Raw genomic sequence first — 25,479 nt, 5'->3', positions numbered from 1 at the left:
GAGTGAAAGAGATGAAGAAAAGTAGGAAATGAAGTCAGACAAGTTACAGAGGCCAGATCAAAACATGGAGAACGTGGTCAAAACTCTGGCTGTTAACTTAAAGAGATAGGACACTGATGGCAGGAAAATTTCCAGAAAAGAACTGGAGTGACTTTGATTGTTTCCTTGAGAGTAGACAAAGGAGGGTAAAGGAAGGAGTAGGGAGAACAGTTAGGAGGCTATTTTGTTAACCTAGGTGAGGGATGCCAGTGGCTTAGAACAGATTGGTGGCTATGAAGTTGTAAGAAGTGATGTGATTCTGAGAATATATTGAAAGTGGAGTTAGGACAATAGACTTGTGACAAGAGGTGGACTAGAAAAAAAATAGTCCAGGATGACAGCCACCATTTTGGCATGAGAAATTTGAACGAAGGAATAGCCATTAGTTGAGATGAAAGAGATGCAGAAGCAGATGGGGAGTGAGGAACTGATGGTTCTACTTTGCTTCAAAAAAAAGCAATTACAAATGTTTTAACATTTTATTCTGTTATAGGAATATTAACTTATTGGATCATTACAAAAGCCATGAGGCTAATAATATTATCCCAATTTCACAGAATAGAAAAGAGAGATTATAACATTTTATATGTATATGGTATTCTTCTCAGATTACAAACAAAATTATTGAGTGTATTTCATTAACCAATCAGTGTGCACTGATTGGCTTGGGTCATGATGCTCAGTAGGCAAGGCAATGTCTAGAAGAAAGATCTAGAAACTTCCTCTCTGTACTCAGAGGGGTTTTCTTTGTTGTTGCTGTTGTTTGTCTCAACTGGAGGACTGCTTTCATTTTAGGTTTTAATGTTCACACACACCCGAGTACTAAAGCAAATATTTCTCTGGATTTTATCCATGAATTGTTTAGCCCTATCTAGATTTTCTGATTATTTATACATATTTCCAGACAAATATCCAGTAGAAGCACTTCTGCATTTCCACTGCTTTTAATGTTTCACTTTCTCTTACTTTTTGCTGTGGCAAGAAATGGCACCAAAACTTAGAAAATGACAACAAACACAGATTACTTGAATGTGTTACTTGAGGGCTACGTGTAAGTTGAGCTAAGTGGGTTGTGTCTGATAGGTTAAGTTCAAGTAAGCTCTATGTCTCCTTATTCTTGAATCCAAAGTCAGAGGTAAATAGGGGAAATATAAGTATACCCCAGACTCCTGCAAGATTGAAAGATTTGTTGATAAGACCCAATGCATGTGGGATGGGAGTTAAATCCAAATTCCATTTAATCTCAAATGATAGGGTGAGTTGAGTTCATATCTGGGTTAAACATTCCCTAATAAAAAACAAACAACAAACAAACAAAACTGTTCTGAATCCTATTAAGAGTATAAGCAGTACAGCTGTGGAGGAAAATCTGGAGGATGGGAAATTTCTAATGTAAGATTAATATAATATTTTAAATCAAGAATTGTCTTCACTTTCTCTCATCCTCTATTTCTTCTCTATTCTGATTTACACTAGTTTAATAAACTAGTTTGGGGCTATATAACCTTTCACATACTATTTACCAAATTTATATTGTCCCTGCAATTTTTGTTTTGCCACAGACCATGAAGCCACGGAAGACCTAGAGTTACTGAAATTATATATAGGCACTTTGGGAGTGTGAATTCAGTAAAGTGTGTATGAGTTAGCTGAGCCAACTAACTTGCACCTAGGACTTCTGATAGCCAATTCAAGTATCTTTCTACTGTTATTTCCTTTTACCAAATACTTAAGTTACTGTTGATGAATTGGGAAATAACATTTTTGGATATTCACTTAAATTAATCTAAAATAAAAGTTAACAAAAAACCCTTAAGTTGTTAAAATACACTTTCTACTTAACATTGAAGAACATGTTGAATATCCACAGTGTCACTATCAAAGTGTCACTACTCAATATCCTCTCACCCTCAGCAAATCTTTCCTTGTGATGCACCCAGAAACCAATAATTAACCTCCAGATTCATATAATTCAGGTTCTCTTCTTTTTAAGCATATGAGGCCATATCAGGGATATAAATTATCTTCTGATACTTCAGCTAATGATCTGATCAAACTATCATGATTTCTTAGATTTGTATTACTTTATAATGATTTCATAAATTACAGCTTATTTTGCTAGGAAAAGCCAAGAAAAGAGCAAACAGCAACTAAACATGAGCTCCTTTCCATGCAGACCAAGGGCTTAGGGTGGTGGAAAATAAGAGCAACTGTTGAAAAAATTACTTGCCTTTTTGTTTATAATCTTTTCTCCAAAAGACTTGAGTATATGCCTAAGGTAGGCTATATCAGAAAAGGTTATGGGGTCTAATTATCCATTAAACTTTCTGTAACTCAACTTGTGATTTTTTTAATAAAACATATTTTTAAAAGTTTCTTTGTCATTATTAAATAATTACATTTCTGGGGCTTGACGTTTCTCCAAGCCATGAGGGTACCAAGATCATTAACTGTTCACGTGAAAATACTACCTAACCTCTCTTTGTGTATTAATGTTTTATTTTATCGCTTAAATATTGATTCAGAATAAATATTATTCCGAACTAAGTACTTATACGTGATTTGCAGAGGGCTTTGTAACCTAAATTCTTTGAGAAATTGTATTACCTGCCAGCTCTATACTCTGTCACAATATTCCATGTGTCATTCTGGCACATTAGAGCTATTACCACAATATAGAAGCTTTGCTTTCAGCTTTCATAACATTTGAAATTTGCACATTTATTATACTTAGTTTAAACATAACCCACCCAGTAATTATTTCTTTAGGATTTACTATGGGGGAAAAATAAATAAATGAATATCCTATGCCACATGACCCTAAATTACATTCAGCATATTTCCTCAGGTGTATTTAAATAAATATGTAAAATGTTGGTGACAGAATCAGGTTAATGTTAACAGGAGACATTTAATGCAACAGAAATGAATAGGCAATTAATTTTGGTGGTAGCAATAGTTCAAGACTCTTAACGGTGGTACCTTTGAACTGTAAGATCTTTGCAAAAAAGGAGATGTTAATATTCTTCTCTATGGATGATATACATGTATATTTAGATAATTTTAACTTTTAACATTATCACTTGCACGTTTCTACAAATAACTTATAATAATTGCATGACCTCGATTCTACTAGTTTTAGGCTACATAAATACATGCACACACACACGCGCACACACACACACACGATGCTATGTTCTGTCTATCCCATTACTTAGATCCTCAAAATATTATTGGCATTGACCTTATTATTTTGAACATATTCTACACATTTAACAATGTAACCCCCCAAATATGTACAGCTTACGCATCAATCAAAAATATCCAAATCCCCTTCAGGAGGTGAATACATAAGTTAACTGTGGTATATTCAGACAATAAAATATCATTCAGCACTAAAAACAAATGAACTATCAAGCCATGAAAGACACAGAGGAAGCTTAAATGCATATTACTAAGTGAAATAAGATAATCTGAAAAGGCCGTATACGTTATGATTCCAACTATATCACATTCTGGAAAAGGCAAAACTACAGAGACAGTGGAAAGATCGGTGGTTGCCAGGGATTAGACTGGAAAAGAAATGAATAGGCAGAGCACAGAGGACTTTCAGGGCAGTGAAAGTATCTGAGACTGTAATGGTACATGCACATCATTATACATTTGTCCAAACCCATATGATATACAACACAAAGAGTGAACCCTAATGTAAATTATGGACTTGTAGTAACTATTATGTGTCAATGTAAGTTTATCAATTGCAGCTAATGTGCCACTTTGGTGATGCATATGCATAATAGTGGAGGCTATGCATATGTGTGGGAGGTGGGGTTAGACGGTATATAAGAAATCTCTGTACCTTTCTCTCAATTTTGCTGTGACCTAAAACACCTCTAAAAAGTAAAGTCGGTAAAAAATAATAACAAACATAACATGAGCAAATAGATGAATTCACAAAGAAAGGCTTAAGTTTCTTTTCAACATCTTGGAATAAATGAAAGGTGTTTCTTTTTTTTTTTTTTTTTAGATGGAGTTTTGCTTTTGTAGCCCAGGCTGGAGCACAATGCTGCCATCTCGGCTCACCACAACCTCCACCTCCCGGGTTCAAGCGATTCTCCTGCCTCAGCCTCCCGAGTAGCTGGGATTACAGGCATGTGCCACCACGCCCAGCTAATTTTGTATTTTTAGTAGAGATGGGGTTTCTCCATGTTGGTCAGGCTGGTCTCGAACTCCCGACCTCAGGTGATCCACCCGCCTTGGCCTCCCGAAGTGCTGGGATTACAGGCATGAGCCACTGCGTCTGGCCAAAAGATGTTTCTTAAACATAATTTTAGAATATATGCATTATCTATGGGAACCTAATTAGCATCACACTGGCTAAGGGAGTTCAACTTCTCTAATGTGTATGGAAAATGCAAAGACTTTTCTGTAAATTATTTTCTTATGCTGGGAGGAAATTTATAATTCTAAGATACAGGCAAACATATACTATACATATATTATAATATATTTATGTTATATCACATATACATTATATTATATGAAATGTTAATATATATAATATGCATCATATATTGATTTAATATATAAACATAATATATTACATATTACATCTTATAAATATAACTTTATATTTAATAATATTACCTAAATATATCTTCTGATTCAGTGTCTTCCCCCTACTACTTCCTTCTTCAAAATTTGCCTTGTGCCTTTAAACCATGACATCTAGGATGTCTCCAATCCAACATCACTTGAGTCTTTAATACCCTCTCTTCTAGTCTAGTGCTTCACTGTTATATGACCCTTGATGCTGGTCCTGTTTAGATTATTTTTAATGCAACTGTACTGTGGCCAATGCCTCCATTTGCACTGATCACATCTGGTGCCACTCACTCCACTGACATTAAATTACTATGGATGTTTTAATACACAGTGCAGCCAACAGTATCACAGTGCGGTGATAATCTGCCATTATCACTAACAGTCTTGATTCTTTTATCACAACTAGTGGTGCAGCTTTTGTCCAATTGTTTCTGTTGAGTTAGCTACTGCTGTTGTTGAGCTTTTGTTTGTTGGTTTTTGTTTTTGATTTTGTTACCACCAGTCTTGTACTTAAATTCTAACAGTAAACTTTCTGCCACTTTTTATTACCATTGTTCAGGTCAGTCAATTCAACAGATATTTCTTAAGCATCTAGACTGACCATCCAGGATTAGTGCTGTGTATGAGGGAAACAGACATAGTCCCAGCCCTCAAGACATTAATAATTCTAAGGTAGAGGCAAACAGATATTATATCTCAGTGAGGATTTTACAAACTAGTGTTCATGATTTTACAATTGCTTCTACTCTTGCCTTCTGGCACTCATAGTCACTGCTCCATGTCCTAAAAAGGTTGCTGTGGACAATATAGGGATTAGAAACATATTATTTATTAACTAAAAGTAGGTCCTTAGTTGGGATTCTTCAAAAAGCCATCACTGCCTCATATTAAAATGCTTCTATCTTTATATTCTATCTTTATGCTTTATCTGTGTTTTCCACACAGTTATTTATAATTTCTCTCCTTTCTTTTTCATTTTCTGGCACACTTACACTTATGAGCCTATAAATAGTAAAGCAAACTTTTAAGCTTTTTTTTGTTTTACTTTTTTATCTCTGCCACTACATAACAACTTTTAAGCTTTTGTACATACCATTTTAAAAGAATCCCCAAAATGTTTTCTCTGTGTTATCGCCATGTAATGAATTTAATAAAATTCACCTAGCTTTTTAAAAACATTACAATTCATTAGCAAAATTATAATTGTGTTAAATAATATAGAAATTCAATATAGAAGTTATAGTGCCACACTGTTATATTCCTTTTTATGCCTCGATTGAAGACCAATCCATAGAAGAAATTTTATTTTAAAATTAAATTTCACAAGTTATTTAAATACAAATCTCAAAATATAAGAATTTATAGACTTTGTGTCATAATAAGTTAAAAATGGCATCTTTAAATCTTTACTTAATTGTAATACATCACAAGTATTGATAACAGCTTCAAAGTAACAAACATGTAAAAAGTTAGTAGTCAAATGAAGACATTTCAACAATTTTTGTCTTATTTTTATTATCCTGTTTATAAAATAATTGTTGTTTATACTCTCCGGTGAAAAAAAATTAAAATTACATTATATATAAATCTATACATGGAAAATAACATGAAGAATTATCACAATAACAGATTTAATGTAAAATATGTAACTCATTCATCCAAATAAGTTGGATCAAAGCTGTTCAGTGGCTCTCGTCTGTAATCCCAGCACTTTAGGAGGCCGAGGTGTTCCAGTCACTTGAGGCCAGGAGTTCAAGACCAGCCTGGCCATCATGGTGAAACCCCGTCTCTACTAAAACTACAAAAATCAGCCAGGCTTGGTGACACATGCCTGTAATCCCAGCTACTCGGGAGATTGAGGCACGAGAATTACTTCAATTTGGGAGACAGAGGTTGGAGCGAGCCTAGAATGGTCCACTGCACTCCAGCCTGAGTGAGAGAGCAAGACTCTGTCTCAAAATAAAATAAGCTGGATAAATATCTTCTTGGCTTGAATTTCAGGGTATCTTTCCAATTTTATGTGTGTTACCAGAGTCCTAATTATATCTCATTTCATCCTTATTGTATCTGATGCCAGTGCATTTTGTTATCTAGTATTTAAACATGGATGCTACAGCATTCATACATGGCAATAAAATTAATATGAAAAGAATAAAAATGGGATAATCAGTGGCTAATGGCTTGAGATTTATAACACCATTGAGAGATTTTATTGATTTAAAGTTCATCTAGGATATAGATTAAAATTATCATCTAAGTTAGTTCAAAATAGAAATATCCACAGTGATATAATCTGATTTTGTTCAAAGTTTTTTATATGGTGACACTTAGTAAAATTATTTATGTTGTCATTTCAGTGTGCATGAATAAGAGAATACCTATGTTACATCAGAATATGTATGTAAGAAGGGAGTAGAATATGTAAAGACATATTTTACATATTGAAAAAGATAATTATTTGAGTTTTAAATTTATAAATGACTTTTGCTATAAAAATATTCAACAGCCAGCCTGAAGATGAATTTGTAATATTTTAACATTTAATTTAGCCAGATAAAATAGTCCAGAACTGAGTATTCTAAGATAACTTTCTGTAATCATGGAAATGTTCTATATTGGCACTGAATAAAACAGTAACCACAAGCTATACATGTTTTGCTAAATTCAAATTTACATTAATTAAAGCTTAATACATTTAAATATTGAGACCCTGAGTAACACTTGCCACGTCTCACATGATCAATATTGACTCATGACTACCATCTTGGGCAGTGGAGATGTATATTTCCATCGTTATAGATACTTATATTTGAGTACTCTCTTCTGGATCATTTCATGTAGTGAATCTAAACATTAAATGAATTCAAATGAATCTTCAGGCTGGCTATTGAATATCTGTATACCAAAGATCCTTTTCAAATTCAAAAAGGAAAGAATGATTTTGCAGAATGTAAATATATATCTTTGTGCATACATAGAAGTGTGTTAAAACTGGTCAATTTAATATGCTTTGGTTCCCAGAAAAGTAAGTCAACCTACCCCAAATATAACCCTGTTTCTAATCTCTTATTTGAAGGAATAGTAATTCTAAATAGTATCAGAGCTCTAAGATGATAAAGATTTATAGAATGAGATCTGTGGAACATTAAACATACTCTTGAAATAATTAAAGAAACTATAACACAGTTAAGTAAAATTCTCCATGTAGACTTCTGCTTCTAGTCATACAAACTAACTGTCTGGATTTGCCTTCTCACACAGAGTATATATGCTCTAATTATTTTCAGAAATTGAACATAGGCAACACAAAGCTGTAGTCCTTGAAAGAAGAGAAATACATAAATGAGCCCTGTGATTTTCCTTGGTATCTTCCTTGAAGCACTTTTCTTTTTCAGCACAGCAAAGTGAATCTCAGACAAAAGAGTCATCTCCAAGAGCAGAGAAGGGAAAGAGTGTAGTTCTGGACTGCTGAAGTGTATCAGATTAATAAGGCAGCTTACCCAAGAAGAGGAAATCATGAAAGGTCAAAGGTGGGCAGAAATCTGCATAAGAATTCATTATGTGTTCTAAGCTGAAGCCTAAACTGTGTAGGCCCAGCGGCAAAAACTCCATGAGGACAAATAGTTATCACTGATAAAGCCTAAATGTTGAACGGTAATACCCGTGGTCATGCTGCACTAAAACACACTGGAGTTCCAGCTCTTCCAGAGTGAAGAGACCTCGCTGAGTAACTGGGTGATCAGCTAAGAGTCCATTAAGACCAAACACAGAGAAAATTACCACCCTACAAGAACAAAATACCATTAATTTGAAATTAAAATATTTCCACAAGAGAAATATAAGGCCTGTTACTTTGCTGGTAAATTTCACTAAGGAAGGAAAAAACCACCAATTTTAAAAATGCTATTAAGAAATAGAAAAGGAAGGATCATACCTCAGTTTGATTTATTAGGCCAGAATAACACTGCTATCAAAATCTGTCAAAGGCATTTTAATACTTTTACAGATCAACATCCCTCATAAATATCGACGCAAAAATGTCTAACAAAATTTCAGCAAATTGAATCCAAGTATACAAATTACTAAGTGGTGTTGATCCACAGCATTTTAGAGTTTTTGTTTGTTTGTTTGTTTGTTTATATTCAATCTGTAGTCAGTTTAATCTCTTAAGGTAAAAAGAGAAATAAAAAAATCAGATGAAATTAACAAATGATTTTTAAATTAAAACTCAACAAAAACTCTTGCTAAAAATTCTTGGTAATGTAGAAATATACAAAAAAATTTCAATCTGATAACACATATTAAAACTTGGCATTAACATGCTGCTTTATGTTGAAATAAAGAAAAATTTCCTTCTAAAATCTAGAAAAAGTTGTGATGATCAGTCTGACAATTTCTGTTCAACACTGTCCTGATGGTCCTAGCGAGTGAAGTGAAGCAATAGAAGAAAATGTTAAGAAAATGTTTAAAGACTGGAAATAAAAAATGATCTATTCATATATACAAAATATTTTATACAGAAAGTCCTGAAATCTACAATACCTATTGTACCATTAAGTTTGTCTTTTTTGAACTTCAAACCAACAAAGATCAGGAAAGACAAAGAAGGGCATTACATAATGGTAAAGTGTTCAATTAAACTGTTTTCTATTATTTTTCAGATTTTACTTTTACATTGTTTGCTGCTATATTGTCCTTGTATCCTGAAACCCTAACAAATTTAATAAATATATTAAGACTTAAATGTAAAATCCAAAATTATAAAAGCCCTGGAAGACAACTTGGGCAATATCATCCTGGACCTAAGAACTAGCAAAGATTTCACGACAATAACATCAAAAGCAATTGCGACCAAAGCAAAAATTGACAAGTCGGATCTAATTAAAGTTAAGAGCTTCTGCACAGCAAGGGAAACTATCAACAGAATAAACAGACAACCTATAGAATGGGAGAAAATATTTGCAAGCCACGCCTCTGAAAAAAGGTTTAATACCTAGAATCTATAAGGAACTTAAACAAATTTACAAGAGAAAAACAAACAACCCCGTTATAAATTAGGCAAAGGACATGAACAGATATTTTTAAAAGAAGACATATATGCAGCCAAGCTCAATATCACTGAGCATTAGAGAAATGCAAATCAAAATCATAATGAGATACCATCTCAGACCAGCAGAATGGCTATTATATAAAAGTCATAAATAACAGGTGATGTCGAGGTTGCAGAGAAAAAGGAACAACTTATACACTCTTGGGAGTATAAATTAGTTCAACCGTTGTGAAAGGCAATATGGCAATTCCTCAAAAAGCTAAAAGCAGAATTACCATTTGACCCAACCATCCCATTACTTGGAAATATACCCAGAGGAATATAAATCATTCTACCATAAAGACATACACACGAATATTCACTGCAGCAGTATTTACAACGGCAATGATGTGGAAACAACCTAAATGTCCATCAATGACAGATTGGATAAAGAAAATGTGGTACATATATACCATGGAATAATATGCAGCCATAAAAAAGGAGATCATGTCTTTTGTGGGAACATGGATGGAGATGGAGGTGGTTATCCTTAGCAAACTAACACAGGAGTAGAAAACCACATACGTCCTGTTCTCACTTACAAGTGCAATCTAAATGATGAGAAGTCATTAATGCAAAGAAGAGAACAACAGAAACTGGGGTCTACTTGAGAGTGGAGGGTGACAGGAGGGAGAGGAGCAGAAAAGATAACTACTGGGTACTGGGCTTTATGCCTGGATGATAAAATAACCTGTACAACTAACCCCCATGACAGGAGTTTACCTATGTAACAAACATATACTGCTGAAACTAAAACTTAAAAAATGACATACTTAAGAATGAATTTTATAATGTGCATACATTCATGGACTGGAAAACTCATTTTTGTTAATATATCAATAATCTCCAATTTGGCTTATAGATTTAATGTATTTCCAATCAAAAATCATCATTTTATTACTAAAAATATTGACAATTGATTCAAAAATTGATCGTCAAAACAATCTTGAAATCTAGGCTACTAAAAAATAATAAAATCTCGAATATTTCAAAGTACCCTGAGAAAACAATAACAACAGTAACAGAACAGTGTTAGAGGGCTTACTACGTATTATTCCATGACTTCATATAAAGCCACAGTAGGTATTAATATAAAGAGATCAGTAGAAAGGAAAAAAAAGAACAAAAATATATTAACACAAACCCTATGAATGGATTTTCAAAGCTGGCTAGCTAGTAAGGAAAGGCTTTTCATTTAATGATTTAAATGATGTTGGAATGGTACAAACATCTGGAAGAACAATTAACTGAATTAAAACCATGTGCATAATATCACATACCTACATATTTGACATAAAAATATCAATGTATATAAAAGATAAAATTATGACAATTCTAGTAGAATACATAGAATGTTTTCAGAAATTTAATACTAAACATAACATAAAATGATTCATTAAATGTTACAGAATATATTAAATGTTACTTACTCAAAATAAATAACATTTCTAATGAAAAGATACCAAAAGAAAATGAAAAGATAAACCACTAAATAGGCAAATATATATGCAATGCATGAAACAGAGATGGTATCCAGAATATATAGACATACATATATCAAATAGATGTACACACACTTTGACACACACATACATATAACCTAAAATGAATTTTTTAAAAAATGAATAACACAATGTAAAACTGTATAAAATATTTGAGACATTTAACAAATAAGACTAATTAATGGTCAATAAGCACATGAAGATGTGCTCAGCATCAGTTAATCAAGGGAAATACAAACAGAGGTTACACTGAGGTATTATTTTGTATGTACTAGAATATCTAAATTAAAGAGACTGGTTGACATCAAATCCTAGCTAAGATGTGGAGCACCAAGAACTCTCATATATTGCCTGGATGTATAAAATGGGATGACTATTTGAAGAGCTATGAGGCACCTAAAATTTATACATATGACCGCTTTATGACTCAGAAATTCTACTCCTGAGACAAATTAAAATATACATTTAGGGAAAAACAATTTTAGAAGATTTAGTCATAAAAGCTGAAAACTGGAAACAATCTAAATATGCTTAAGTGGAAGACTAGATGTCTAAATTGTGACACATTTACACAGGGGGGTATTACTCAGCAAAAAAACAAACTACACTAATGGATACACATCAAAAACATATGCCAAAACAGAATCCAAAACTAAAGGGTTTATATAGTATGATTCTATTTATTTGAAGTTGAAGAACGGACAAAAGATACAGATGATAATGTAGTATATATGATGATTATAGGATAGCTGGTTTTAAGCCTGCAGAAGGAAACTTTCTGAAGTAATAGAACATGTCATATGGTGACTGAAGAGCTAGTTACATAGATGACTACATTTGTTAAAACATTCATCTTATGTTTGGATGCCATTTATTTTATTCATAAAAATTGCACCTGTCCAAAAAAATCACCCAAAGATATGGGACAATTTTGAATTAATTAATTATAAAATATAAAAGTTCATTATATTATATTGAACATAATTTGCAGCATAAAAGTGCAGCAAAAAAAACTCTCAAATTCTGTGTAAAAGATTTGCCAGGAAAACATATTACTTTTAAATAAAATTTTTATATTTAGAAGATATTCTGAAATTTGCAGCCACATAGATAGAACTGGAGGACATTATGTCTAGTGAAATAAGCCAGGAACAGAAAATTAAACACTGCATGATCAGACTCATATGTGGAAGCTAAAAATGGTTGATCTCACAGAAGTGACCATTAGAACAGAGGATACTGGAGGTGGAAAGGGTAGGGAGAAGGCAAGGATAGGGAGAAATTTGTTATAAGACCTAAAATTATAGCAACATAGGAAGAATGATAGCTAATGTTTAAACCACTATAGGATGACTACAGTTAACAGTAATATATTATGCAGTCCCAAATAGCTAGAGGGATATTGAATGTTCCCAACATGAGGAACTGATAAGTATTTGAAAGACAGATAGGCTAATTATCCTGACCTGATCACTATACATTATTTGGATTGAAACATCATTATGTATCCCATGAATATGTACAATTATTATTTGTCAATTAAAAGTAACATTAGAAAAATAAAAAAATACTTCAGTCTCATGATCTCTGAAAACATAAAAAGACATGAAATGAAACCAACTTTTTAATGTTATTTCACAAAAGTATTTATTATTTTAGAAGCTTCAGTCAAAAATTTCTTTGAATGTTGGAGTTTCATTCAAGAAACATGAATCAGTTTACAACAGTTTCTTAAGTGGTAAAACTGAAGGTGAATAAAAGCAAGTTTTCTACATCCAAGTGTCACATTTTTTCCTTTATACAGAATTGTTTCTCATTAGTTGAAAACTGCACATACAAATAATACACAATAATTTTTGTTAAGATAAAGGAATAATTTCTCATACATCTGAGATACATATGTACACACACACACACACACACACACACACACGTATACCACATTTTCTTTATCTACTCGTTGAATGATGGGCATTTGGGATGGTTCCATATTTTTACAACTGAGAAATGTACTGCTATAAACATGCCTGGGCAAATATCTTTTTCGTATAATGACTTTTCCTCTGGGTAGATACCCAGGAGTGAGACTGCTATATCAAATGGTAGATCTACTTTCAGTTCTTTAAGAAATGGCCACAGTGTTTTCCATAGTGGTTGTACTAGTTTACATTCCCACCAACAGTGTGAAAGTGTTTCCTTTTCACCACATCTAAGACAACATCTATTCTTTTTTGATTTTTTGATTATGGCCATTCTTGAAGGAGTGAGGTGGTATCACATTGTGGGTTTGATTTGCATTTCCCTGATAATTAGTGATGCTGGACTTTTTAAAAATATGTTTGTTAGCCATTTTACATCTTCTTTTGAGAATTGTCTATTCATGTCCCTAGCCAAAACTTTTTTTTATTATACTTTAAGTTCTAGGGTACATGTGCACAATGTGCAGGTTACATAGGTGTACATGTGCACAATGTGCAGGTTACATAGGTATACATGTGCCATGTTGGTTTGATACACCCATCAATTCATCATTTACATTAGGTATTTCTTCTAATGCTATCCTCCCCCAGCCCCCCACCCCCCGACAGGCCCCAGTGTGTGATGTTCCTCTCCCTGTGTCCATGTGTTCTCATTGTTCAACTCCCACTTATGAGTGAGAATATGCGGTGTTTGGTTTTCTCTTCTAGTGTTACTTTGCTGAGAATGACAGTTTCCAGTTTCATCCATGGCCCTGTAAAGGACATGAACTCACCCTTTTTTATGGCTGCATAGTATTCCATGGTGTATATGTGCCACATTTCCATTATCCAGTCTACCATTGATGGGCATTTGGGATGGTTCCAAGACTGCTATAGTGAACAGTGCTTTAATAAACATACCTGTGCATGTGTCTTTATAGTAGAATGACTTATAATCCTTTGGGTGTATACCCAGTAATGGGATTGCTGGGTCAAATGGTAATTCTGGTTCTAGATCTTTGAGGAATCGCCACACTGTCTTCCACAATAATTGGACTAATTTACACGCCCACCAACAGTGTAAAACTGTTCCTATTTCTCCACATCCTCTCCAGCATCTGTTGTTTCCTTTCTAAAGATCACCATTCTAACTGGCATGAGATGGTATCTCAATGTGGTTTTGATTTGCATTTCTCTAGTGACCAGTGAGGATGAGCATGTTTTCATAAGTTTGTTAGCTGCATAAATGTCTTCTTTTGAGAAGTTCTCTTCATATCCTTTGCTCATTTTTTGATGGGGTTGTTTTTTTTCTTGTAAATGTGTTTAAGTTCTTTGTAAATTCTGGATAGTAGCCTTTTGTCAGATGGATCAATTGCAAAAATTTTCTCCCATTCTGTAGGTTGCCTGTTAATTCTGATATTTTCTTTTGCTGTGCAGAAGCTCTTTAGTTTAATTAGATCCCATTTGTCTATTTTGACTTTTGTTGCCACTGCTTTTGGTGTTTTAGTCATGAAGTCTTTGCCCATCCCTATGTCCTGGATGGTATTGCCTAGTTTTTCTTCTAGGGCTTTTATGGTTTTAGGTCTTACGTTTTAGTCTTTAATCCAACTTGAGTTAATTTTTATATAAGGCGTAAGGAAGAGATACATAGCCCAACTTTGATGGGTTTGTTTGTTTTGTCCTTGCTGATTTGTTTGAGTTCCTTGTAGATTCTGCATATTAGTTATTTGTCCAATGTATAGATTACAAAGATTTTCTCCTACTCTGTGGAATGTCTGTTTTCTCTGCTGATTATTTATTTTGCTGTACAAAAGCTTTTTAGTTTAATTAAGTCCCATCTATTTATCTTTGTTTTTGTTGCATTTGCTTTTGGGTTTTATTTATTTATTTAGAGAAAGGATCTCCCTCTGTCACCCAGGCTGGAGTGCAGTGGCACAATCTTGGCTCACTGCATCCTCCACCTCCTGGGTTCAAGTGATTCTCTCGCCTCAGCCTTCTGAGTAGCTGGGATTATAGGCACATGCCACCACAGCCTGGCTAACTTTTGTATTTTTAGTACAGACATGGTTTCACCATATTAGTCAGACTGGTCTCAAACTTCTGATCTTAGGTGATCTGCCCACCTTGGTTTCCCAAAGTGCTGGGATTACAAGCATGAGCCACTGTGGCCAGCCTGCTTTTGCATTCTTTGTCATGAAGTCTTTGCCTAAGCAAATGTCTAGAAGGGTTTTTTTTTCAATGTTTACTTCTAGAATTGTTATGGTTTCAGTTTTTAAAGTCTGTGATGCATCTTCAGTTGATTTTTGTATAAGGTGAGAGACGTCGATCCTGTTTCATTCTTCTACATGTGGTTTGCTAATTATCCCTGCACCATTTGTCAAAAAGGGTGTTTTTCCCCGACTTGATGTTTTTGTTTGCTTTGTTGAAGATCAATTGTCTCTAAGTATTTGGCTTTACTTCTGGGTTCTCTATTCTGTTCCATTGGTCCATATGCCTATTTTTGTACCAGTACCATGCTGCTTTGATGACTATGGCCTTACAGTAGAGTTTGAAATCAGGTAATGCAACGCCTCCAGATTTGCTCTCTTTGCTAGTCTTGCTTTGGCTATGCAGGCTCTTTAATGGTTTCATATGAATTTTAGGATTGTTTTTTCTAGTTCTTTGAACAATGATTTTGGTATTTGGATGGGAATTGCACTGAATTTGTAGATTGCCTTTGGCAGTATGGTCATTTTCACAATACAGATTGTGAAAATGCGATGATCCCTGAGCATGGGATGTGTTTCCATTTGTTTGTGTCATTTAGTCTTGCTTTGGCTATGCAGGCTCTTTAATGGTTTCATATGAATTTTAGGATTGTTTTTTCTAGTTCTTTGAACAATGATTTTGGTATTTGGATGGGAATTGCACTGAATTTGTAGATTGCCTTTGGCAGTATCGTCATTTTCACAATACAGATTGTGAAAATGCTATGATCCCTGAGCATGGGATGTGTTTCCATTTGTTTGTGTCATCTATGATTTCTTTCAGCAGCATTTGGGAGTCTTCCTTGAAGAGGTCTTTCACTTCCTTAGTTAAGTATATTCCTAAGTATTTTATTTTTTATTTTTGCAGCTATTGTAAAATGGGTTGGGTTCTTGAGTTGGTCCTTAGCGTGTTCGCTGTTGGGGTATAGCACTACTGATTTGTGTATGTTATTTGTATCCTGAAACTTTACTGAACTCATTTATCAGTTCTAGGATCTTTTTTGGATGAGTCTAGGATTTTCTGGTTATATAATCAGGTCATCAGCAAACAGTGACAGTTTTACTTCTTGTTTACTGATTTGGATGCCCTTTATTTCTTTCTCTTGTCTGATTGCTCTGGCTAAGACTATTTTGATGAATTTTTTAAAAACCCCAAAATTGTCATATTACTCCAATTACTTACATGCCTCATGAAGGATGCAGCATTTGTCACATAAGTATATGCCTGATATACTGCAGGCCAAATCCCTTCAAATTTTAACATAGAAATCCACCCCAAAAAGTGCTAACCAATTCTTTAGCAAGTTTCAAGCACATGTATTACATTCTGCAAATTATTTGAACCATAAACACTCTCTTAATAGAAGACTAACAAAATCATTGCTGTGATTTTTCTATAATAAGCCCAGCTGGGGATTAAATGGCAGGGCTCTACTCTATCAGCTGCAGAAACTGATGGTCAAAGCTGTCCTTCTTTTGTCCAAGTGATCATTTGGCTGAGTGTTACAATTATGCTACTGCACCTGCAGCGTTAAGTATTAGCTTAAATTCCTATTTGTAAATAGATAAATCCACAACCCAATTAATTAGAAACCATTCCTCATTTGCTCCGACCACCTCTGGGAAAAGGTGAAATATTATAAATACACTTAGTTATAATTTGTTCATGCCTAAACTCCCTCGACATGATTTTATCTTTTATTTAACTTTAACTTGCAAACAGCAAATCTATGAAGAAAAAAGAAAATATGCAGCATATCTTAAGAATTTAGGATTATTTCCATTCTAAATGATTCACTTGGTCCACTCAGCAATTTAGAATGATATTTAAATTGATATTAAAACCAATTTTCATACACACTTTTATTTAGAAAAAATGTCATACAGGGAAAATTAGAACTGTCTATTTCAGTGTTTGGTATTTTCCAAATACATCTAAAACTGCACATAGTAATGTAAATGGATATATTCCCATCTGACTAAAAAAAGTTATTTAAAAATGAGCTATAACTGTGTTCATACTTTAAACCAAATACAACTTCTCCTACAGATTTATCCTAAATAAAGTGCAAAAAAAAAAATTAGTTCAAATTTGTACATTACTACTCTTTTTAAAATATAAGAATATAGAAACAAGAACATAAAATTAGTAAAATCTTATTTAGACGTTAAAATTATAATGTTAAATATAACAAAATCTGGAAAAGGCTTACTATGTAAAGCTAGACATTATAATAATTGCTAAATCTATATTTTCAATAAATAAAATTTAGGTATGCCAAATTTTCAAAAGCTGATGGACAGTATGGGGGTGATGTGATTATTTTCTGTGTCATCACTGATGATTTGGGAAAGAGCAGAAAGACCCACTTACCATGAATTATGAGAAAGCATAAATATTTGCCTCTTTTAGAAGTAGAAAAAGCAATGCAAATACTTTACAAGAACAGAGCTAACAATTAGTTTGCAGGTCATCTTTGTCAACCAAACACCCTCCACAAGCAAAAATGTCTGCTATATAAAATTTTAATAATTCTACAATTTTATATTTAAAGAGTTTTGTATTAAACTAATAACAGATACTACACTTGTTCTTTTTATTATTATTATTTTTATTTTTTTATTTTTTTTGAGACAGAGTCTCGCTCTGTCCCCCAGGCTGGAGTGCAGTGGTGTGATCTCCACTCACTGCAAGCTCTGCCTCCCTGGTTCAAGCAATTCTCCTGCCTCAGCCTCCCAAGTAGATGGGACTACAGGTGCCCGCCACCACGCCCAGCTAATTTTTTTTTGTATTTTTAGTAGGGACGAGGTTTCACCATGTTAGCCAGGATGGTCTCGATCTCCTGACCTCGTGATCTGCCTGCCTAGGCTTCCTAAAGTGCTGGGATTACAGGCATGAGCCACTGCAACTGGCCACTTGTTCTTAGTCAATAGGCTGAGAAGCCAACAAAGGCACAATAATTGTTGAAGGTGATGGATATGCTAATTACCATGGTTTGATGACTACACAATATATACATGTAAACTTATATTACCTCATAAAGATGTACAATTATTATGTTAACTCATTTTTTTAAAGTTTTATATTAATGTTTTTATTCCATTATAATAAGTAATTTATTCAATTGTTTTAAATTTTAGCTCCTACAAATGAATGAGAACATGTAAAGTTTGTGTTTGTCATCCATATTGTTGCAAATAACAAGATCTCATTTTTAATGGCTGAATAGTACTCCATCGTGTGTATGTACTCCATTATCTTTATCCATTCTGTCGACTGACACTTAGGTTACTTCCAAATCTTGACTCTTGTGAATGAATAGTGCTGCAATAGACATGGGAGTGCAGAAATCTCTTTGATATATTAATTTCTTTTCTTTTGTGTATATTCCTAGTAGTAGGATTGTTGGATCATATGATAGACCTATTCTTACTTATTTGAGGAGCCTCCAAACTGTTCTTCTTAGTTGTTGTACTAATTTACATTCTTACAACTGTATAGAAGGCTTCCCTTTTCTCCACATCCTTGTCAGCATTTGTTAATGCCTGTCTTTTGGACAAAAGTAATTTTAACTGGAATGAGATAATATCTTGCTGTAGTTTTTTTTTTTTTTTGGAAACGAAGTCTCGCTCTATTGCCCAGGCTGGAGTGCAGTGGCGCGATCTCGACTCACTGCAAGCTCTGCCTCCTGGGTTCACGCCATTCTCCTGCCTCAGCCTCCCGAGTAGCTGGGACTACAGGCTCCCGCTACCACGCCCAGCTAATTTTTTAAAATATATTTTTAGTAGAGATGGGGTTTCACCATGTTAGCCAGGATGGTCTCGATCTCCTGACCTCATGATCCACCCGCCTCGGCCTCCCAAACTGCTGGGATTACAGGCATGAGCCACTGCGCCCGACCTTTCTGCGGTTTTGATGTGCATTTTCTAACTATCAATGATGTTGAGTACCTTTTTGTATACCTATTTGGCATTTGTATGACTTATTTTCAGAATTATCTGGATTATTGGTTTTTTTTCCTATAGAGTTCTCTGAGATCCTTAAATATTCTTATTAATCCCTCAACAGATGATATTTTGCGAAAATTTTCTCCCATTTTGGGGGGTATAGCTTTACTTTGTTGACGGTTAGCAGAGGCTGGGAAGGGTCAGGGATAATAGGAATGGGTAATGGGTACAAATACATAGCTAGAATTAATAAGTATTTGATAACACCACATGTGATTATAGTCAACAATAATTTATTGTGCATTTCAAAGTAACTAAAATGTATAATTGTATTGTTTGGAACACTTTAAAAGGATAAATATTTGAGGTGATAGATAACCCATTTACCTTGCTATGATTGTTATGCATTGTATGCCTGAATCAAAATAATTTACATGCCCCACAACTTATGTATATTATATACCCTCAAAAATGAAAAATTTTAAAAAATGTAATGTATTCAATTATAGTTCAATGACATGACCACAAAACATAACACCATGTCTCTCATAAAACATCATCTACTATGTTTATATAATCTCCTTTAAAACAAATTTTCTATAAAAATTATAAAACAAAAGTCAGTCTTCACATTAATAACATATATATTGAATAACCCATAACAGATTGCTTATTATCTTTATTTTAATTATTTAATCATTGTATTTAATTTCATCCTTGAACAAAATTCACTAAATTAGAGCTGATATACAATATATTTGTTGATAACAGATCCTACCTTAGTCTTACATAGATTTAACCAGTCCTGAATGATATTGTTTATAGCCAATGTTCAAAATTGTGTAAAGATCTAAACTTTTGAGAGCTTTGGAAGAATTTGACATAAATTGTGTGTTCACTAATTTATTTAACGCACTTTATTTTCTCTCTTAAATAATTGTAGGCAGACTCTTAATTTCGCAGAGACCACTGAAAAATGATTCTCATAAACTCATTTATTTTTCTGGATATTCCTGATCTGAAAGTCTCTTTCTCATTCTCAAAATATTGTAGCCAAATCTGAGATAATGGACCTATGAGAATAAAATAATCAAATAAATCCACATTTAGATATAACATTATTTTGAATATATAGCAATTTAGAATAGAGCATGATTGATCATGGATTCTATTCTACACCCAAACCCTTTTTCAAATGAGGATGTCATAATGTGGTTCTGGACAAGACCGTGGAGACTTGAAGAAGAAGCCAATTGCAGGTAGGTAGATGTCAGGCAGTCCTGTTTTGCGAAACAAGAAAAATAGAGGACTAGTTCCTATGATTTTCTTATCCCCCAAAACCCAAACCAAAATTGAGTGTTAAAAAAAAACCACAGATTCAAAAATACAGAGCTTCTGTTCAGGCTCACAATAGCCACTTTGTTGAGCTCAATATTGTACAGCTCTTAATTTATAAGATTACATTGGGCCTTCTGTCAAATTTTGAGGAAACTACACACACACACACACACACACACACACACACACACACACACACAGAGACACACAGATGGCCTTAAATTTAGCAGAACAGCAAATGAAATTCTGCAGAGATATTTTCTTTTATCCAAATCTTTTGTAAGGCTCCTTCCAACTACCCTTTTTGTTTATTTGTTTACATGCCCTGGTTCAGATTAAGTCATAAATTTGATTAGTGAATCAAACCTTTTTAAAACGTTATTAAACAAAAATTTACATATTTGTAGATCGAAAATAAGAAAATACTAGTAATAATATATATACAACATTTAACACTTCACTGACATATCAGAATTTCTCAATTTACAGAGTTGTTTTCTATAATAATTTATGCTTCTATGGTATAGAAAAATAAGCTATTTTCTCTTGGCCCATAGCTAAAACTGGAATCAAGTACAGTTGATCATTAGTTGCCTTGGAAAACTTAACACATTCTCAAGTTTGATTTTCAGTCCTGCACGCCCTGAAATCTGATATGGTCTTCAAGTTAAGAATAAATTCACATGTTGAGCAGAAAATTTTGCCAAGAATATGAGACTGAATTTTTTTTTATTCCTTCCAAATTAAAAAAAAAAAATTTGCAGGTAACAGTGTATATTTTGATTTTAGGATAACACATTTACCATTGTTTTCCACCACATGAGTAGCCACGTTATATCAGTAGACTCCTTAAAAACGTGACTAGAACAAAGAAAATTATTAAATATTTTCTGATATTAAGATAAGATGATTTGATGTATCCATCTTTGCATAAAATAAGCAATTGCCAATAAGAGCAGAATATTTTAGCTCTTTTAGTTAAGATGTTATCTCTTCTAGTGTCTTAGCCATAGTTTTAGACGTTGAATTAGTTATCTTTAGCTGCAGCAGTGCTACAAAAGGTAAGCTAAAATTTCTGTAATATATACTGATTAAAATTTATTTTTCAGTATCATACCTGCAGATGACCCTAATGATTTTCCTCCAGGTTGCAGACTGGATTCAGCTCGATTCCACCAGTCTTCCCAATCAGAACTCAATCTGACAAGGGGATGGCTGCCAAAGACATGCTCTTCTCATGGAAAATGTCCAGGACAAAAGAAGGGATGGGAAAGAACACTCCCCCCATGTAGGAAGGAAAGGGAGTGAATATCTGCTCCACAATGATGTAACCTACCACAGACGACTGCTGAAAACAGTTGCCCATGTTTATCTTATTTTTTTCTGTATTTGGTGACTAAATCGCCAAATTTCTCACTGCCCGTTCTTTGTTTACGTTTGTCTTTGTTAGTGTGTTTCAGTCAGCAGGCCTAGGGATCCTTTAACTTTTCTAATGAGAATTTTATTCATTCTTGTGATGGAATTTGTTTTGCGCAAACCTGTATTTCTTGTCAGGTATGTTTGTTGATGCCTCATTATAGATTCCAAGAAATAAAAACAAAAGATGAGTCTACCATTATATTTTGAAAAATATATGGCTATACAGATACTAAATTCATTATAAAAACAATTTTTAAATATAATTTACTGCCATTAGATATGAAGAGTTGGAGAATAAGAAGCAAAGCACAAAGTTTCGATCATGAGTTTTACTGTAAGCCATGTAGTAGATCTCAGTGGGCCACAGAGGTGCTGAATAACATTGAATAACAGTATGTTCTAATAAATAGCACCATTTGTTGGACTCATTATGGAGACTACACCATAAACCACCTGATTTTTCTAAGCAATGCTTCTGAATTTATTTTTAGATAAATAAGCCTGAATCTTTGATAGAGTATTTCTTATATTACATTTACTATTACTATTAACTTACTATAAACTATTAAATTAGTTTTCATCAAATTGAAATCAAGCACAAACTAAAATGCAATTTTTTTTTTTTTTTTTTTTTTGAGACGGAGTCTCGCTCTGCCCAGGCTGGAGTGCAGTGGCGTGATCTCAGCTCACTGCAAGCTCCGCCTCCCTCGTTCAGGCCATTCTCCTGCCTCAGCCTCCCTAGTAGCTGGGACTACAGGCGCCTGCCACCACACCCGGCTAATTTTTTGTATTTTTTGTAGAGACGGGGTTCCACCGTGTTAGCCAGGATGATCTCGATCTCCTGACCTCGTGATCTGCCCGCCTGGGCCTCCCAAAGTGCTGGGATTACAGACATGAGCCACCGTGCCTGGCCAATAATATTTTACTATGTAGTATATGATGACATTATGTGACACTTGGAAAGCACAAATTCCCTTGAACTGCTTCTTGTTTTGACCTCTTTTCTATATATCATATTTCTAAGTGCCTGATGAAAATCTTCATTTAATGTCCAAGCAACACCTCCAACTCACAAAGTGATTGGCATATTGAGTTATATTTTGCTTCTATTGTGTTTTTGTATCTATTTTACATTCTCATTTTTCCAGCTACAAGATTTAGCATTCACTTATCAGAGCATGAATACTGGAAGTTGCATTAAGCCCTAAGCCATTAGACACAACTTCATCTCTTCATTTGTTTTGGTCTATATCTCTTTATAGCTATCTATCTATCTTATCTATCTCCCTATCTACCTATCTGTCTTTCATCTATCAATCTATCTAGCTATTCATTTGTTATAGAAAGGGTGGAGCTTATTTAAATATATAGTAGTTCTGTTTTAATCCAACATTTGTAAATTTTTGAGAATAAATTTGCTAAACTGAATTATTTCAGAGAAGAGAATATCTCTTAAAAATAATATGAAAGTAGATAACGTTTTTAACAGCTTTATTGAAATATAATTCACTTACCATAGAATCCACCCATTTAAAGTGTGCGATCCAATGACTTTTAGAATGTTAACGGAATGGTACAACTATCGCCACAATCAGTTTTAGAATATTTTCATTTACACCCACATAACCCGTTTATCCTTCAGCCCTCACCTCAACTGTCCCTTCTCTCAACCTCAAGTCATAGCAACCACTAATCTACTTTCCGCTTCTACAGATTTGCCTAATTTGGACATTTCATATTGTATAAATGGGAACTGTACAGTATGTGGCCATTGTGAACAGGCTTCTTTCACTTATCATAATGTTTACAAGATTTATCACATTGTAGCATGTATCAATACTTTATTTCATTTCAAATAATATACTATTGTATGGATAAACTACATTTTGTTTACACATCAGTTGATGTGAATGTGACCTATTATGAATAATGCTGCTAGGAACACTTAAATTTTTGTGTGGACATATGTTTTAATTTTCCCTTGGGTATATATCTAGAAATGGAATTGCCTGATCATATTATAACTGTGTTTAGCCATCTTAAGTGTTGAAAAACTGTTTTTCAAAGAGCCTTGAGTTCTTAAGTGTGTCACAAAGACAGGATAAAAGGACAAAGAGTGGTTTCCATGCAATGGGCGGGGGTGGGGGGATCTGGATATTAGATACTTCTAAGATAACGCTATCATACTGGAATGGTTACTCTTTTAGTAAAAGGGTATATATACTACGAAAAAGTAATCTATTCATAAGGAAAATGCGGTGGCTAATGCCTGTAATCCCAGCACTTTGGGAGGCGGAGGTGGGTGGATCACGAGGTCAGGAGATCAAGACCATCCTGGCTAACACAGTGAAACCCCATCTCTACTAAAAATACAAAAAATTAGCTTGGCGTGGTGGCGGGCACCTGTAGTCCCAGCTACTGGGGAGGCTGAGGCAGGAGAATGCCGTGAACCCGGGAGGTGGAGCTTGCAGTGAGCCGAGATCACTGCCACTGCACTCCAGCCTGGGCAACAGAGAGAGAGACTCCTTCTCAAAAAAAAAAAAAAAGTGTGTCAGTCCCTATGTTGAATTTTGAAAGAAGTATTGGCCACTGAGAATATCAAACTCTCACTTAAATTTCAGCCTCAAATTTCTGTGGTGTATTTGTTTTAGAAAACCCCAAGACCAGACATTGACATAAAGTGGTACCATTTTGATAGAAATTTGGTGTCTCAAAGGAAAAAAAAAATTCTGTCTGAAGAAACGTGAAATAAATTTCTATTAATTACGTATAGAAAAAGACTGCAGTAAAGGAGCTCACAATTAAAAAATCTGTAACACAAAAGGAAACTAGACACATTTAGCGAGAATCAGTATCAAAACTAATACAGTTAAAGCCAAATGAACTTTAGATAAGGAATTTATTTGCCAGATAAAATCGAATAAGAATATGTAAATTAATTAAATAAGAAAAAATAGAAAACATAAGAATGAACTAAGAGATTTTAGGCGGATTGGGCCGGGGACAGGGGCTCATGCCTGTAATCCCAGCACTTTGGGAGGCCGAGGTGCGCAGATCACTGAGTTCAGGAGCTCGAGACCAACCTGGCCAACATAGTGAAACCCACTCTCTACTAAAAATACAAAAATTAGCCAGACATGGTGGCCGGCGCCTGTAATTCCAGCGACTCCGGAGGCTGAGGCACGGAAATTGCTGGAACTCAGGAGGCAGAGGTTGCAGTGAGCAGAGATCGCACCACAGCACTCCAGCCCGGGTGACAGAGCGAGACTCCGTCTCAAAAAATAAAAATAAAAATAAAAATAAAAGTTGAAACAATAAAGAAGGTAATAATTACT

At 34.2% G+C, this 25,479-nt stretch overlaps 1 annotated feature.

Moving 5' to 3' along the window:
- Positions 8,104–8,304: a silencer, noted in NCBI's record as "peak4387 fragment used in MPRA reporter construct". NCBI's record gives its function as "represses an SCP1 promoter by STARR-seq MPRAs in K562 erythroleukemia cells {active_cell/tissue: K562}" and the evidence as "EXISTENCE:reporter gene assay evidence [ECO:0000049][PMID:32103011]".

This window comes from Homo sapiens, chromosome 21, assembly GCF_000001405.40.
Source record: "Homo sapiens chromosome 21, GRCh38.p14 Primary Assembly".
Lineage (NCBI taxonomy): Eukaryota > Metazoa > Chordata > Mammalia > Primates > Hominidae > Homo > Homo sapiens.
This window is presented reverse-complemented; position numbering and strand designations above follow the sequence as displayed.